Source organism: Homo sapiens, chromosome 7 (genome assembly GCF_000001405.40).
Source record: "Homo sapiens chromosome 7, GRCh38.p14 Primary Assembly".
Taxonomy (NCBI): Eukaryota; Metazoa; Chordata; class Mammalia; order Primates; family Hominidae; genus Homo; species Homo sapiens.
The window spans coordinates 80,662,455-80,680,584 of record NC_000007.14 but is presented as its reverse complement, the minus strand read 5'-3'; the positions used below and the strand labels follow the sequence as shown (position 1 = coordinate 80,680,584).

At 34.1% G+C, this 18,130-nt stretch overlaps 1 protein-coding gene across 28 annotated transcripts in view; it reads right to left on the bottom strand.

The window, feature by feature from the left end:
• CD36 (CD36 molecule (CD36 blood group)) overlaps positions 1,311-18,130 on the bottom strand; it is a 77,068-nt gene continuing 60,248 nt past the window's right edge. For 10 of the 28 annotated variants that reach the window (NM_001371075.1, XM_047421046.1, XM_047421041.1 and 7 more), the window contains 10 exons: positions 17,416-17,595; positions 16,088-16,179; positions 14,096-14,142; positions 10,563-10,632; positions 9,421-9,608; positions 8,545-8,663; positions 7,742-7,815; positions 7,176-7,230; positions 6,438-6,602; positions 1,311-4,201 (listed from right to left, as the gene is read on the bottom strand). In NM_001371075.1, coding sequence (NP_001358004.1) covers positions 6,438-6,602; positions 7,176-7,230; positions 7,742-7,815; positions 8,545-8,663; positions 9,421-9,608; positions 10,563-10,632; positions 14,096-14,142; positions 16,088-16,179; positions 17,416-17,595 — 990 coding nt within the window. In that variant the 3' untranslated portion in view covers positions 1,311-4,201. Of the gene's footprint in view, positions 4,478-6,164; positions 6,603-7,175; positions 7,231-7,741; positions 7,816-8,544; positions 8,664-9,420; positions 9,609-10,562; positions 10,633-14,095; positions 14,143-16,087; positions 16,180-17,415; positions 17,613-18,130 lie in introns of those variants that run through there. The other 18 variants (NM_001001547.3, NM_001371074.1, NM_001289911.2 and 15 more) reach the window with 8 other exon arrangements.

The window sequence follows — 18,130 nt, the reverse complement described above, 5'->3', positions numbered from 1 at the left end:
ACTCTGTTGCCCAGGCTGGAATGCAGTGGTGTGATCGTAGCTCACAACAGCCTGAAACTCCTGGGCTCAAGGGATCCTCCTGCCTCAGCCTCCCAAATAGCTGGGACTACAGATATATGCCATCACACGCAGCTAATTTTTAAATTTTTTTTGTAGAGACAGGGTCTTGCTGTGTTGCCCAGGCTAGTCACAAACTCCTGTCCTCAAGCTATACTCCCACCTCGGCCTCCCAGCGTGCTGGGATTACCGGCAAGAGACACTGTGCTCAGCCTTCCTCATTCACTTTCTATATAACAGTATAGACTTTCTCCACTGTAAATACTCTTTGAATTTTCTTCTCTTTATCCCCTCCCTTGCTCCTGCTCCCTACTCCACTGCAGACATGTGGCAAGCAGGCCATCTAGCAGTCTAGCCCAGTTTTGTGCTCATAGTACAACTCCAGTGCTATTATTCAGTATACATTTATAAAACAGAAAGCTACTGGATCCTGAAGAATCTCTTTATTCAGATGAATAATTTTTATATCAGATAAAGTCTAGGACCTGTCTCCAATTTTAGTATCCCTTATCTGCTCCTAACCTATTCATTACTTTACATGCAGTATATATATTTGTCGTTAATACTGTCAAGTAGATCAAATAACACATTCCAGCAAATCAAAGGAGTATAAAGTTTAATACCACTTCACCCTCTACTCTGCCATATAGATTAGCTTTATTACTGTTTGAAAATATTTACAAGCTCAACAGGGCAAATTATAAAACTTAGTGGGATATTTATAGCAACATTTTCAGGTCTGATGAACTTCCCCCTCATCTCAGTATGTTTATGTCCTTCTGTTAATACATCAAACTAATACCAGCAACAGGTCAAATAAAACTCTTACAGCTAGTCAAACTTCAGTGACTTAAATCAGGGCTTTTCCAAAATTTCGAGTGTCTATGAATTTCTTAAAGATCCTGTTAAACTGTGGATTCTGATTCAGTGGGTCTGAGGTAGAACCAGAGATTCTGCATTTTTAACAAGTTCCCAGGTGATGTTGAGGCTGTTTGTCTAAGATTCATGTAATTAAAGGAAAATTTTAAAATATTTATATTTATCCTATGTCACAGCCCCCTTCATGAGTATGCAGAATGAAACGTTTTGCAATGTGTAGATTGTACTACTAGCATCTGGGAACAGTTGGAAAAAGGAAATAGGAGTGATATGTAAATAAGTCATGAAAGGATAATAGCTCATATAAAACTATAGTAACAATATCAAACAATATGGAAGTCAACTACATTCAAAAATAAAAATAAGCAAAATCATTTTTCTAATAACAAAAGTTTTTATTTTCACAAATATTTTAAAATGCAGCTACCTTTGAGCCACAAAAGGAAAAAGCAGTATTCCTTTTATGTATTTGATACAAATATTAAACATAACTCAGTTTTAGTTCATTAGCTCAGCTCAGTGAAAATAGCTCAGGAAAAAAAAAGTCATAGGTAATGCTATTGGTATATGCAGGAAACCAGAAGCGACGACATTGAGTTCAAAATCCATTTAGAATTGTAGACAGGCCACAAGGGGCAGGTGAAGAGAGCAGCCACAGAGTCACTAATACATTGGACTTCAAACAGAAAAACTGAAATGTCAGTTGGTACACACCTAAAACAAACTCCAACTAGAAAGATAATTATGTAGCTCAGACATTGATAACAGGTTAAGAAATTTGTACGTGCATACTGTTTTTTTTTTTTGAGATGGAATCTCGCTCTGTCACCAGGCTGGAGTGCAGTGACGCGATCTCAGTTCACTGCAACCTCTGCTTCCCAGGCTCAAGAGATTCAGTCTCCCGAGCAGCTGGGACTACAGGCATGGGCCACCACACCCCGCTCATTTTTGTATTTTTAGTAGAGATGAGGTTTCACCATGTTGGCCAGGATGGTCTTGATCTCCTGACCTCGTGATCCACCTGCCTCCCAAAGTGCTGGGATTACAGGCATGAGCCACCATGCCTGGCCATGTATACACATCTTAATACAAATATTTTCAGAGATAACCATTGCGTGATAGCTATTTTTTTTCTTGAAATGATACCCTCCTTCACCCTTTTCTGTCAGAACTGAAAGCTACATAGCTTCTTCTATTTCTTCATGCACTTGTTAGAAGCAATATGCATTAACCTATTTTCCGATGCTGTTGATTCTCTAATCTGTTAATCCATTTGCAGACGCTATTGATTTTCAAACTTAAGTTATGAATACCTGCTATAATTCTGTGGTTAATAACCAGCTTTGGAAAGAAAATGTGCTTCTATCAAAGGGTACAATTTTTCTATGACTAAAACATATAAATTCATCCATGAGCAATTGCAAGTGTCCAAACATTTACCCTTTCTGAACAACATTAACTTCGCCAGGGCAAAACAAAGTCACACATGTAACATATTCCCCAAGTTGCCCCACTCCCACCACAGTGCATATGTGCACACACACACACACACACACACACACACACATCCAAAGCCCAGATTTCATGTAAAAAAAATCTCCCCTTAAGTAATTATTTTTCCTACTGCATATTTTTAATCTCGTTGTCTTTGTATATGAATTGTCTTTCCTCTTATATTCCTTTTACAGAATTTGAGAAATGAAACACTGAGGAATGATAAAGATTATACATGTATTCAAACAATATTAAAGACATATAGGTCAAAACCTTTTCTGATATCTAAATGCTATGAGATCATCCCTGTATTAAGATCTGAGTCATGATTAGTCATAATATACAGGTCAATATGTATATTCTCATCCAATTATCTTTAGAAGTTTCTACATTATATAACTCAGCCCTACATGCCTCAATGATTAAAAAACTTTCCTTTATATTAGATGGACATGTCCACAAATATCCTAATGCAAATAGAATAAACCTTGTATTATCAGAAGAACATGTCTACAATGTTATCTTACATATTAATATCTTGGACAGATACTTCTTTTATCTTCCCAGTTAAAAGGAAAGGCACTAAGTATGCTTTAAGCACCTTCAGAGATGCAAAAGATCTTTCCAAACAGGTAGATTCTTGGTTTGTGGCTTTTCTGTAGTAATGCTCAACATTTACTCTGGCGGCTATCATAAGGAGGAGGCTAAAAGTTATTTTCGATTTTAGTATCCAAACAGGCCAGTTACTATTCCTTTGTCCTGTATCCTTCTGTGGGTAAAACACAAGCTAGAATTTGGTTTATCTTCCCTTTCTATGCTGGAGCTTTTTAGGAGAACTAATGCTCTCAGAATAAGTGAACCCCTGCTCAAGAAACAGAGTTACCTATTAATGTGTCTCCTTATGAAAAAGGAAAAACCTTTGCAATTGTCCTACTGCTGTAAAGGATGAAACCAAATGTCTTTTTGTTCTTCATCCAATTAGCTTAAAAAATTAGCCTAGAACAAAGTGGTAGAAATTTAGAAAGCATATTTCAGCAAGGACTATGGATTTATAAAGAAATGTGGATTCAGATAAAATATACTTCAGAGAGAAAATTAGGATAAACATTTTATGACACAAGAGGAACTAGAAAAAGCACAGGAATTTAAGGAAGAACATATTTTAATGGTTGAAACCTGTCTTTATGAGGCGATTATGACAGCAAAAAATATTATAATGAATAACAATGCATAGTCTACGCTTTGTAATATTTCATACAATAATTCCTTTATCATTTACATCTCTTAATGCTAGAAAAGCATTCTGAAGATGCCAAGCGTAAGTTGCAACTGAGTAAAAAAAAAAAAGCAAAATTTACTCAATTTCCAGAAGAGGTGCAGAACAGAGAATGAAGGTCCTTAAAATATAAACCGCTAGTGTGCTAAAATGATGTCCATTTGCAGGATCAGTGACAAAATATTTAAGCCCATAAAGAAAAGAGTTATACCTGCTGTATGAAGGTATTCATAGAGAAATATGAGTCATAAGCCAATTATTTATAAATGTCTTTCAAAATATTTGGTGCACATGAAATGCAGTATACTGATGGTCCTGGAGACTGTTGCAGTTGAATAGGGCAGCTACTGGGATGATGGTGTTTCCCCCGGATGAGGATGACAGGAATGCAGGGCCTAGGATTTGTTGAGCATGTACACTCTTCTTCTGAATTGGCCACCCAGAAACCAATTATTGAATCAGAACAACACAAATTGGTTTGTGCTTGAGCCAGGTCTGTAGAAACGGAAATCAATTCAGTTGTGGAAATGATGAATTTTAAAAGCTGCTGGGTTTTTTTTTGTGCAAGGTAGAGATTTTCATAACATCTCAATAATCCTTTTGAAATGTGCAGTTGCTTAGTGCAAAAAAAGAAATAGTGCCACCATTTCTTCAACTAAAAGATAAGGTGTGCTTTGTAAAAGTAAAGCATATCCAATTTTCATCCTGTTGGTCGGTATTACCAAGGGTCATGATGTAGCTGGCGCACAAATGTGAAGAATCATTTACTACCTGTAGAGTGGCAGTATATCTTAGATATCATACTTTTTATTAATCAGTTCAGTTTCTCTAGCTGCAGAGAGAAGTTCTCTAACGGACTTCACCAATAGGGCAAAACACATTCCCATTCCAGAAAGGCACATAAGAAGGGTGCTTCAAGACAAGCACACACCAGGCAAGGAACGGTAGCTGAAGTGCATCTGCCCTGGACCAGCATTTCCACACCCTTCAGACCAAGTTCCATTTAAAGGTGTATGTACTACTTTCAAAAGGACCATTGGGTTATTTTCTTGTGACCCCCTGAGTAAAACCACACATTAAAGCTCCACCGTCTTACACTTTGCTACTTCTTACATACCTGTCTTCTTACTTGTTCCTATTGTTTACAAATCTGCCCAAAGATATAATTTTTATGATATTAAGAGCTGAATTTTGCTTAAGAAAATCTACATATCTTTTGTGATTCTTCTAAATCTAGTAAATCAAGTAATCAACAGTTTATTCTCTGCTTGTAAAAAAGGGTAGTAATTTTTCCACATAAAAATCAAATATATAAGCAAAACTAATATATTTGTTGACAAAGTTGCTCCAGCAAGCCTTGAATTTTTCATTATAATTTAGCTATAAATAGACCCAAGGAATCTGACATCCAAGGATCATTAAGCAATCATAAAAATGTATCACATAATTTTAATTCTGAATACTTACTTACAAAACATGTTTATAACTTCTGCATTTCCTTTTATTAAGCATGCTTTCCCATTAGGACAAGTTTTTTTGTTATTTTGTTTTACTTTTCAGCGGATGATCTATTACATAGTCATACAAATACCTTTGTTTAGTCATAATTTGTCAGTAGGCTACTGACAGGTATTGAAGGTAATATTTAACTTTTTATAATGTGAACATTTTAGGCTAGCATTTTGAAGCCATTCTGTCCAAATAGTTTGGATGCAGAATTATTGTCTTTTTGGTGACTAAATAGTGGTAGAAGTGATTAGAACCAAAAATTAGGTTGCCTTTTCAAACACAAGCTCTCCATCTCACAAAAGGAAATTATTGGTCCCCAAATTCCACTTTCACTGATTTATGCTTTGGTCACAAACAATTAAAATGTATGATTTCATGGAACATCTCTAGAAGATAGAATGGATGCTGATGAATCCAGGCTATTGGAAAATCATGAAATTGTATTAGGGATCATGTGAGATAAAGAATCTTTCTTTAGCATGGTACTGGCACACAGTAAACAACTAAATAAGTTATTATAACACACATACTGCTTTTATTTACATTGCCTTGAGGTGGGCTGAAGAAAAATAGGGAGAAAGTAAAAAATTCTCCCCCACAGGCAACACCAATGTTACCTGTGATAACTAAAAAAAGGTTTTCCTTTAGGAAAGGTCAGGCATTCATTCATCTTTAAGAGTGCATGGACACTAATATCTAAAGCATAGAGGCCTAAACTCTTGTACACCACTCTGAGTACTTGGTTCTACTATGTTGAACACTATTTTCCCCTATTTCCTGATACTATTATATTCAAATTTTTGTTCAGGACTTTTCTGGATTTGGAAAATGCACGGCCAGCATGTCTACATGCAGCAATCCTGGTCTTATGAAACCATTTCCTAGTCAATTATTTTTAAGTATCAGATAATATATAACTAGCTATATAATTGAGAAATGAACCAGTCAATTTTGGACAACTTTGGCACAAGTGCTTTATTTGTGCTATTGTTACAATGGTCACAAGTACATCTTTTATCTCATTTCTCCCAGAATTAAAGATATACTTTAGTGATCTGCGTGATAATATTTATAGGTTTATTTACCTATATTTAAAAATGATCAGTGGCTAGACATGTCTAGAAATATATATGGCCTAATATGTAACTTCTCTTTGATAAAGTGAAAACAAGTAATATATAAGCTAATATTATTGAAGCAATATTTTTTGGTACATACTTACTTATTTTATTGTTTTCGATCTGCATGCACAATATGAAATCATAAAAGCAACAAACATCACCACACCAACACTGAGTAAGATCATTTCTATCAGGCCAAGGAGGTTTATTTTTCCAGTTACTTGACTTCTGAACATGTTTGCCTTCTCATCACCAATGGTCCCAGTCTGTAATCAAGTTAATAATCAACATTATTTGGGTACGTTAGTAAAACAAAATAAACCCTTCAATTGCCTATCACCCTTTTTTCTAACACCTCTATTGGTGTTAGTCATCAGTATCTATAAGGCAAGTTAATGGAATTCCTTTTGCAAGTCAAGAAAGGCAATTAAGTGCCAGATAGAGTACGGTACTCTTCAATGTACTAGGATTCATTTGCTCTTCAGAACTATCAAAGGGTCAACAGTTTCATTTGCTCCAAAGACTTATTCAATGTTTTTCCTATTTTTATAGCTATCAATGCATGGATTTATAGTAAAAATACCTTGTCAGGCAATAGAAGACAAATGTTACAACAAGAAAATGTGTTTAATAGATGCATTTTTGAAGAAAATCTTAAATGATAGGAAATGTTTTTGTTCAATTGGATCATCTCAAATAGGTTAAATAAATGTATACTCATCCATATGGGTAATGGAAATACATATAGCTTTAAATACTATACATTCTTTTGAAACATCAAGAGCTTGTTTATATACAAAGAAGGTTGTTTTTAATGACTAACAGCTGCAAATACAAACCTCATTAAGCCAAAGAATAGGCACAATATAGTTCCTCTTCAGATTCTTTAATACTCTGTAATATACGTTGAAAATAATTATGAACATATAAACTAATATTTATATATAACAAACTTTAAAATAAATGTTCATAAATTAGTTGCTGTTGCTAATTTGATTTTGTTCCTGTAATGACTCATTTAAATTTTAATATAGTTGTTTTTGACTTCCTTTGCTCTTATATGTCTTCTAATCACATTGATTTTTTTTCACAAGTGTGGATTTTTCCTTTCAATAAATTCTCGGGGAACTGAAATATGAATTCCAAAAATTAATTATTGTCATAGAAATATTTGGGCAGCTAACAAAATAAGAGATGCTATCAAATGCTCAAATAAAACCATAAAACCATTCCAAAATCTGTGAAATTAGTCATAAGCATTTAATAATGATTGGTGACATTAAGCTAAAGATAAGTTGATATCAGATGTTATTTCCACTTACTTACATAGATTTACTCATGTTCTTACAAGAAGATACTACGATACTACAGATCATATCAAAATAACCATTTTCAAGAGACTCACTGAATTTTTTCTGATGGCTTGACCAATAGGTTGACCTGCAGCCGTTTTGCAAATTGTAAAGTGAATCCAGTTATCTAAAAAGAGAACAACTAAATAATTACCAACTTTTAAAAACATTATTTTATACTATTCAAAACTTATTTTTCTTACAGCAGAAGAGAAGGTAGTAACTTAAGGTTAAACAGGACTAATTGAAACTTTTAAAACTGCATATATAGTTATAGTTATATACACATGCATCCATATAGATACACACAATTTATTTGCCCAATCGAATGTCAAGGTTTTAGTTAGTTAGATTTGTGAGTTACTTGAAATGGTTTTTAAAAAATCAAAAATCAGCAACAAAATATAAGATCTCAGATAATTCCTGGTCAAATATATATTCAGTTAGAATCCATGTGTCATTGTTTAAACTAAAACATAACTACTAAAATCCTAGAATTTCATTTACTTTTTGAAAAGGAAAATACAAAAATAAAGATGATTAAAACTGTTGCGCTACAACAATTTTATAGATTTTGACAATAAGTATAGTCAAACTCACATATACTCTTTGACTTTTGCATAATATACAATAACTCCTCATCTAAACATAAATATTTATATAAAATTATTTTAAGCCAATTAGAATCACTTCATAAACCATAGGAAGAAATCGACCTAAGTTTCAGTAACTTTCAAGAATGTGATTCAATAAATATGATTATTTATTGAATAAATAATCATCGACAAGATTATTTTTATTTCAATTGTATTTTTAAAAATATCAACCAAATCAGATCAATAAGGTGTTTTCTTACAGGTTCAATATCCAAGTATGTCCTATGTTCTTCTTCATTTGGGTTTAATCCATCAATAGGTTCTGAAACATCAGGACTTGCATACAGAAAATGAGGAAGTGAAATGTACACAGGTCTCCCTGAAGACAAGTTTTAAGAGTCAATTGGAATTAATAACTTCCTTCATTTCACATATAACTCAAAAAATATTTCCACAAAACTAAAGCTTCTTGCATTAAAAAATACATGGTTTTTAACATGGGTGGGGAAGAATTATGTCAGTTGATTTCTACTATAAACTCCTTCAGTATTAATTTTCAATATGTAAAGCTTTCAGGCAGTAATATGTCTATGGACTAAGAATTTATTTAACACTAGTTTTTTCTTTCTTCTTCCACACCCACGTTAGTATGATAAATATGTACAGGATAAGCTAGTCTCCAAATTTTATGTTTAACTCTAGCTTTAGATACATACTGAAAATACATTTACCTGTACCATTTTCTAGTGAAAAAAGTTAGGACAGATGAATAACAGGATGTTTAATGTGTTCTCGGAATTATTTTCATTTCACCCTAAATCTAAAAGCAGCCACAAGGAAATACTGGTGTGGTTTTAACTAAATTTTGTAATACTGAAACACAAGTGGGATCTTCCCAAAATACAAAATCAGCACTAAAATTTTCTGCCACCATTCTTTCTTCTGCCCTAATTACTTTCTTACTTTAATTTTAAATTTTGGTTGCTAAAGGATTATGGTAAAGTTCTCATTTTAAAGAATATCACAAATTATGATATATTTTAAATTTTGGTTGCTAAAGGATTATGGTAAAGTTCTCATCTTAAAGAATATCACAAATTATGGTATGGACTGTGCTACTGAGGTTATTTACTCACCTTCTTTGCATTTGCTGATGTCTAGCACACCATATGATGTACAATTTTTTGAGATAATTTTTTCTGTGCAGAAACAATAGTTGTCTGGGTTTTCAACTGGAGAGGCAAAGGCCTTGGATGGAAGAACAAATCTATACACAGGGATTCCTTTCAGATTAACGTCGGATTCAAATACAGCATAGATTGACCTAAATACAGAGAAAAAAGAGCTGCATTCCAGGAACCTGAACTTACATTCTGGAGATTCATTTTTTCTTATTCTTGTTTTAACTTAGAAACATCATATACTCTTTTAAATTCTTGTTTCATTCTTAGAAAAAAAGTGATTGGGAAATTTTAACACATACTAAAACTCAATAGCCAAGCATGAACTATTCTTGTTTGTGAAGTACCATGTTTATTTATACTCAAGTTACTTCTCACAGGCAATTTATCCAATAGAGTAAATATTTATAGGACTTCCTTCAAATACTTTATTTGTGATCAGTTTAAATGAAATAGTTTCTTTCACGGCTTAATTAATCCTGGAAAGAAAGACCACTCACTGGAGTGTATGCATATACATGCTGGATATATACCTGGTACATTTCCATCGTTTACCAAGTGTCTATCATAGGGTTCAATACACATATTTTTCTTATCCCCAGATACACGTATATGAAGAAATACTGCTGTCTTAAATTGTACAGATAAGAAAAAAATTCAGAGATGTTAAATGCCTACCCACAAGCATACAGTCTTTAGGGACAGAGCTTGGGCTCAAGGGTAGTGGTAAAGGCTCCAGTGCTTGTGTGTTATCTACTGGGCCCCACAAATCTGAGCAGAGCACATTAACACAGTTCTGTTACATTTGCATCATCTTCTCTGTATGTCTTTAGAAAGATTGGGCACGCCCTTCTGGACTTGATCGTTAATAGACTACTAGTTTAGTTTTTAAAAGGCAAAATGGTTCTTGCTTAGATAGAAATGGCAAAAAAAAAAAAAATTTGTACTATTAAAAATTGGAAGATGCAGAAGAACATTTTGCAAAGAGTTAGTTAATAAACATGATGAATTTCCTATGCTGTGTTTAAGTTTCTTGGTCTGCATTTTGTCACCTGGGGTCTGACTCAGACATACTTATACTTCAGTATCTGTCTTACCTGCAAATATCAGAAGAAAAGAACTGCAATACCTGGCTTTTCTCAACAAAAGGTGGAAATGAGGCTGCATCTGTTTAAAAATCGAGTGGCAAATGATTAGATGTAATGTGTGTTCTAGAAAAAAACCTAGAAATCTCTCCTCCAGTGTAGTCCATAGAAATGTAATGCAAACTGCCTAAGTAATTTATCTAGCAGCCACATTTTTAAAAGGTAAAAAGAAATAACCGGCCAGGCATGCTGGCTCATGCCTGCAAGCCCAGCACTTTGGAAGGCCAAGGCGGGTGGATCACCTGAGGTCAGGGGTTTGAGACCAGCCTGGCCTACATGGTGAAACCCCATCTCTACTAAAAATACACAAAATTAGCTGGGTGTGGTGGTAGGCGCTTGTAATCCCAGCTACTTGGGAGGCAGCTATCCTGAGGCAGGATAGGCCTGCCTCAGCTATCCTGAGATAGGCGCTCGTAATCCCAGCTATCCTGAGGCAGGATAATTGCTTGCACCCAGGAGGCGGATACTGCAGTGAGCCAAGATCATGCCATTGCACTCCAGCCTGGGCGACAAGTGGAAAACTTTGTCTCAAACAAAACAAAACTATATTTAACTTATTAATATCCAAAATATTTTAACATGTAACCATTATAAAATATTTTAAATTCTTAAAGTCTCAAAATCTACTGTGCATTTTATATTTACAGCACATTTCAAATCATACTAGCCAGATTTTGAGTCCTTAACAGTTACATATGGCTGGCGGCTGCTATTGTCAACAACAAATCTACATACTATACATATTTAATGGTACAAAATAAAAGAAACTTAAACATGAAATGTTAAGGCTAACATTGTGTTTGTTTTTTGAAATGCCCTACCCCACCAGTAGAGTGGCACTTTTCTTCCAGTGAAGTTCATTTGGATCTCCTGCCATGTCCACATTTATTTGTAGTGATTTTTTTTCTCATTTGTCCTAATGGCTGATTACTACTTCTAAAAATATTTACTAAAGTTCTCTCACTAAACAGAACTTCAAATGCTTTGAAAGTGTATAAAAAAGTCATTTATTGAATTTACTTTTTGCTACAGCTATGATCCATGGCAAACATTGGATATATGAAGAAATAGTTAACTCCTCCATGTACTTCTCACATGAATATCACTAATACGAGCCGTCATTGAATGAGTTTTAAATGGTAAGTCTCATCTTTGATTATGCATTGTAGGTTCTTTCTCTGGCAAGTGTGTCAACCTTGTGACCTTGTTTTCATTAGTTTACACTCTTGTGACAAGTAAAATATAAGCCCCCATATGGACATTGACAACAACTGCTTTTCCATTTCCTTAATAATTAAAGAAAAATGCATTGAAAAGCTTTTAAGATCATTATCTAAAATATCATTGAAGATTATGTCCTAATTATACCCAGCAACTACCATGGACAATGACTGCAACATAGTTGATATTTGCAGAGCTTTTTTTCTGTCCTCCCAAAAGAAACATTCTAAATGTATACCAATACTTTCATTTTAAGTCTTTTCAAACTTACTGAAGAAGGTAAAGAGGATGCACTTCTAAATTACGATGAAAACACATTAGAACCTTACTGTTTTATTACTTTCTTTTCGCTAGTGCCATAAGCAAGAATCTCTCTCACAGGGATCATCCCCTGCTCTGTCCAAATTCCCTCTTTTCCTAGTTTGTATCAGCCCTATTTTCCCCATAGATATTTTTAACATCATGCCTGATGCTCATGCATTTCTATTATTGTCAATGAATCTTCTTTTTAAAGATTTTTCTCCTTAAAGAATCCTTTACTAGGATTAACACAGTATATTTATCTCTGCATCTAAGGACTAAGTATTCCGCTTATACAACTACTAGCATTGGTAGTATTGAGGACTTGAAAATTTATTTCCAGAAATGCTTTACTTAGAAAATAGCTTATTTGCCCACTCCTATGGCTCAAAACCCTGCAAAGCCTTGGCCAGGTGTGGTGGCTCAAGCCTGTAATCCCAGCACTTTGGGAGGCCGAGGGGGGCGGATCACAAGGTCAAGAGATCAAGACCATCCTGGCCAACATGGTGAAACCGTCTCTACTAAAAATACAAAAATTAGCTGGGTGTGGTGGCACATGCCTGTAGTCCCAACTACTCATGAGATTGAGGTAGGAGAATCACTTGAACCCCAGGAGGCAGAGGTTGCAGTGAGCCGAGATCGCACCACTGCACTCCAGCCTGGCAACAGAGCCAGACTATGTCTCAAAAAAAAAAAAAAAAAAAAACAAAAGAAAACCCCTGCAAATCCAACAGTGTTTTTGCTGTTTTTTTTGTTTGCTTTTTTTGTTTATCATTTCCTACAAGGCAATGATAGAATCAAGTACGCATACGAAGTCAATAATCATACCTTTGGCAAAGTAAACATTCTCTGTACTTCATTTTTACTTAAGTGTCTTTATCTTTGTTATATCATTTTCCTATGGGATATTCCCTAATTTTCTAAACTTCATGCTTTTGTTTCCTAGTAGTTGAAAGCTTGCCTCTGGATATTAATTACTTCATGGTATTCGATTCCCACCACTTTTTTTTTTTTTTTTTTTTTTGAGACAGGGTCTCACACTATTGCCCAGGCTAGAGTGCAGAGGCACAATTATAGCTCACTGCAGCCTCCACCTCCTGGAATCAAGTGATCCTCCTGCCTCAGCCTCCCAAGTAGCCGGAACTAAAAGCGTGTGCCAGCACACCCAGCTAATATTTGTATTTTTTTTGTAGAGATGGGATTTTGCTATGTTGCCCAGGCTGGTCTCAACCTCCGGGGCACAAGTAGTCTACCTGCCTTGGTCTCCCAAAGTGCTGGGATTATAGACATGAGCCACTGTGACCAGCCTCCCATTGCTTTTTAAAAATCTTAATTCTTAAACTAATAGGCATATCTGTACTTTGCTTTTCCTGAAGGAGAATAAGCCTGATCTAACCATACCTTAAATCTAAGTTTATGAATGCTCATTTTTTACATATATTTTTCACAGTTAAGAAGACATCTGACTTTGTTATTGTTTTCTCTCTCATTCTGACCACCTTATCCAAAAATGGATGGTTCTGTCTTGCAACTTTATTCTATCTCAGCTATAAGCCTTGCTTAGATATGTTTTCTATTTTGTAATTAGCTTTTTTTAATTCTTTCAATTCTAACTTATCTGTATACTATTTATAAAATATTTGAAATGTAACTAAAGTGTTTTGTGTTGTTGTTTGTTTTTTACCATTTACTTCTGTTGCCAGGATGGCAGTAAAGTTTTTACAAAGCAAACATTTCTCTGAATCATGCAGTAAGGGCTAATTTTTTATGATTAATCTTTACAAATCCCATCACATTGAACAGACCTTTAGCCTATATACAAATAGTGACTCTGAATTTTGTTGTGGGGATATAAAGGCAAGTAAACACACACCCTCAACTTTCAGAACACTGTCAGTACAACGGTGGATTTGTGGGAAAGGGAGGTGGATTAACTGTGATGACCACAAAACAAATATTCTTACCTGTACCATTAATCATGTCGCAGTGACTTTCCCAATAGGACAGATTCCTAGGAATAGAAAAAGACAATGAATAAACATTCTTATTTAAAGAATACCTTTCTTACATTACTTTTTCTATTATAATTCAATACTTCTGTTAATATGATGCATTTAAATGTGACAAGTACTAAGTTTAAGAAATGTTCAATTCTGTTTATGTTTTGTTTGAACCTTTTATCTTATTGCAATGTACCTGATGCCATTAGGTAGCCAGATCATAAAATAAAAACTGCCAGGTGTTAATTAGAAACATCTTGGAATAAGAAAAAAATTAAAAACATTTATCAGAAACTTAGATCTCTACTTAGGGGAAATTTTTTTTTTTCCAATGGGATACATGAATTACTCAGTAGTATAAGTGTTCAGAATGAATAGAAGGAAAGTGTTAAGTGGGTAACTGATATAAGCTAAGTACAAGGCAGGCAGAAGAGAGAAGCAGGGAAGAGGAAAGAAGCAGATGTTTGGATCAGCAAACATTCAAAACATGTAGATGATTAATTTATATTCTTGCCCCTTCCTCCCTTTAATTCTCCCATGGACTGGCGTTAAAGTAGGAAAGAGTTTACTAACTTATACTTTGCTGTCTAAATAAGCTATATATATCTGGAAGTGATAAAAACAATAGTAATAGTTTCCCTGCATCCTCACTTTTTGGTGATGGAAAAACTTTTTTTCCACTCCTGACAGTGACATGTCAAGACAAGCCATTGCTTAAACAAAATAAGTGGTTAATCATGTTCAGTCTTGCCATGAGTTAAATCAACCTTACAATCTTAAAATGATGTGAAATTCTTACTCTAACTAGGAGTGCTTTGCAACTCCCCTCCACATCTCTCTGTAATATTAGAGTGAAATGCTCGTTATTTCTCAATATAAAAAATTGCTGTGATTTCCTTTTAAGTGAATACTTAGAAGTGTTTTTTTCCCTCTACTGACTTTTTCTATAAAAATATGTAACTGTGGACTCTTTAGAAGAAAAAGTACTCCACTAGTAATATTTAGCTGTTAAAAGCAATCATTAGATAGACTCAGTTTGAGGTAGGGGTTACTTTATATTAATAAAAACATTTCATCTCTTTTGGTTTTGATCACTTTATTCTTTTTCAGAAAAAAACTAGTCAAACACACAATTGTTAATTTTATGGAGAAGAAAGCTTGTTCCTCTGATATTTATTAGGGTTCTTCCTAGTTTACATATATGATAAATTATAAATTCTTTAGGTGAATAGGCTGGAGCTAGAAAAAAAAAAAGGAAATAATGGCTTAGGAAGCTGATTTGTTATTTTACCACTTTAAAGTTGGCAAAGTCTTCATTTTCACATTTTGTATTTACATTGTAGAACTGCACTTGAAATATTCATTCTATTTTTGCATTGATAAAGTTAAAAAAGCTGAGTTATCAATATGGAAAATTATTAAAGACTATTTGCAGGGGGAAGGTCATGAAAGCAGTTGCCTGGATTCATTAAGCTTCCATCTTTATAGACACATTTAGGTCATGCCACTGGAATATGGAATTCGATATGCTCGATTTAAAAAGTAAAAAAAAAGTTTCCATCTACTACACAATCAGTTGATGTGTTGTTTTTTTTTTTTTTACCTTTTCATTTATGGTTATCTAATTGTAAGAATAATTATACTGTAATGCTGGATAAGTAGCAGAGATGAAAAAATAGTCCCTTTGGGGATTTATGTAACACAACCATAACCTGTGCAGAAAGGTGAACCAAACCTTAAAGTGGAGCTGATAGTCAGCAGCTATGCACTGGTGTGAACTCACCAGTTACCACAACTAAAGAGTTAATACCTAGCAGAACAGGAGTTTCCAGAGCTGAATTATAACCAGGTCTGTTCTATAGGTTGATGCCTATGTCTTATGAGATGTTAAATGAATACTATTCCTGCTTAAGAGTACCCTAGTAACATACATGCACATTTTACCAGAATACTTACCTTTTACCTTTATATGTGTCGATTATGGCAACTTTACTTATGTTATCTTTTCCATTGAAAACTTTATAAACTCCATCTGCAGTATTGTTGTACTGAAATATATGTATGGGAAAATGTTACTTCTACAAGTCATTTTTTCAAAGTTGTACAATACATAACTCACTTTCACATTTCTCAATCACTGGTTACTCAAATGACTTGAAATACATCTGCAATACATTTTTTTAAATTATTGGCCTTAAAAATTGTGAAAGGTGCCTAGAAATAAGTGCTAGATGCTGTGACAAAGAAGATACATATCAGAAGCTGACATGATGTGAACTCTAGCACTCTGTCATAATTAAGCCAATGAGGGCATTTTGATCACTATTCTTACTATGTTGAGGTGAGGGACATTGAACAAACCTATAAGAACAATGATTTCTAGGGGTATTCTAAATGTTACAGTCATTAATAAGTGGTTACTAAAATGATAATAAGTGGTTACTAAAATGATAAAAATTAGACATCCAAAAGTTAAAGCATTAGCCAAAGAAAGAGCTATGAGTATTGAGTTAAAATCAGAATGAATTTGATTCATTATGGCTTTCTACATTCATTTATAATTGATATATAACCTTGTAATCCTAACAGTATCTAAAAGTAAAACAATGAACTAGAGAACATAATATTCACATATAGTGCCAAATGAAGTCATAGTCCAACTTCCAATTCAGTAGTTAGCTTATCCTATTTGTAATTCAAAACATTAAGCGGTAATCAAGTACACCATCAAGTTCACATTTTCCTTAATCTTCAAGCTGCCATTTCATGACATTATGGACTACTAAAAATTCTTATTTACAAATCCCATTAAAATGAAGTCTATTACCTTATCAGTATTGAGATGTGAACATTAGGCTAACTTTTAAATATAAATTAAAATTGTAAGAGGTCTAGAAAAGGAGGAATGAGGAGTATATTTAAAACAAATAAAAATATGGTATTAAACTTGATTATGTGAATAGGGAAATAAAAGCCAAAAACAGTGCTCAAAGATTTACAGACTAGCTTACCGGCTAATTTAAAAAAAATTGTGTATTTATAAATGAGTAGAAACCTTATTAAATCTATTCTTCAGGTTTAAATTTAATTGTTAAATTCAGATGAATTTCCCAACTAGGAAAGCTGAAGCTATAATGAGAAGTGGACTTTTTAAAAAGTTAGGATATATGTCTCCAGATCAGCAATAAGACTAATGAGCTAAATTATAAAATTATGCCTTGCCAATGCCATTGAATTAATTAAATTAAAATGTAATAATATTGCCATTCATATTTGGTACTTACAGGATAAAACAGACCAACTGTGGTAGTAACAGGGTACGGAACCAAACTCAAAAATGGATCCCTATAGCCCCATAACAGTTCTCTCAAAGTTCTGACTTGGAACATAGAAGATTTTGACTTGTTAATAAGTGAATTGAGGATCATTTGAACAAATTGATTTTGATAGATATGGGATGCAGCCTACAAAAACAAAGTCACTGTTTAAGACAAGAATACAATATTAGATTTTAACAAATAAATGGATTAAATGCTAATATTGAGCTTAATACAAAACTTTTTAAAGCTTATCTTTAAAATTACTGCCAGATCCTGCCAAAACTCAAAATGCAATTCGTCTAATTCCTAGATGATTACATTTCTTTGCCTCAGTGCCAGCCACAAGAAGACGACATTCCAAGTTAAGCTCTATTTATTTAACGATACACTTAAAGTGGTCTTCTCAAATATCTAATGCATTAAGGCATACGGGGCTTAAAACCTAGATGATGGTTTGATAGGTGCAGCAAAGCACCATGGCACATGTATACCTATGTAACAATCCTGCACATTCAGCACATGTATCCCAGAACTTAAAAAAAAAAAAAGCCATAAGTCTGGTCCCAAAGGCGCTGGAGCCACACGTGACAGAAATGGCGCAGACAATTGTTGCAGGCGTGTTCATCACAACGGCAGGTTCCACGTCTAACGGCACGAGGCTCTCTGCCAGTGACCTGAC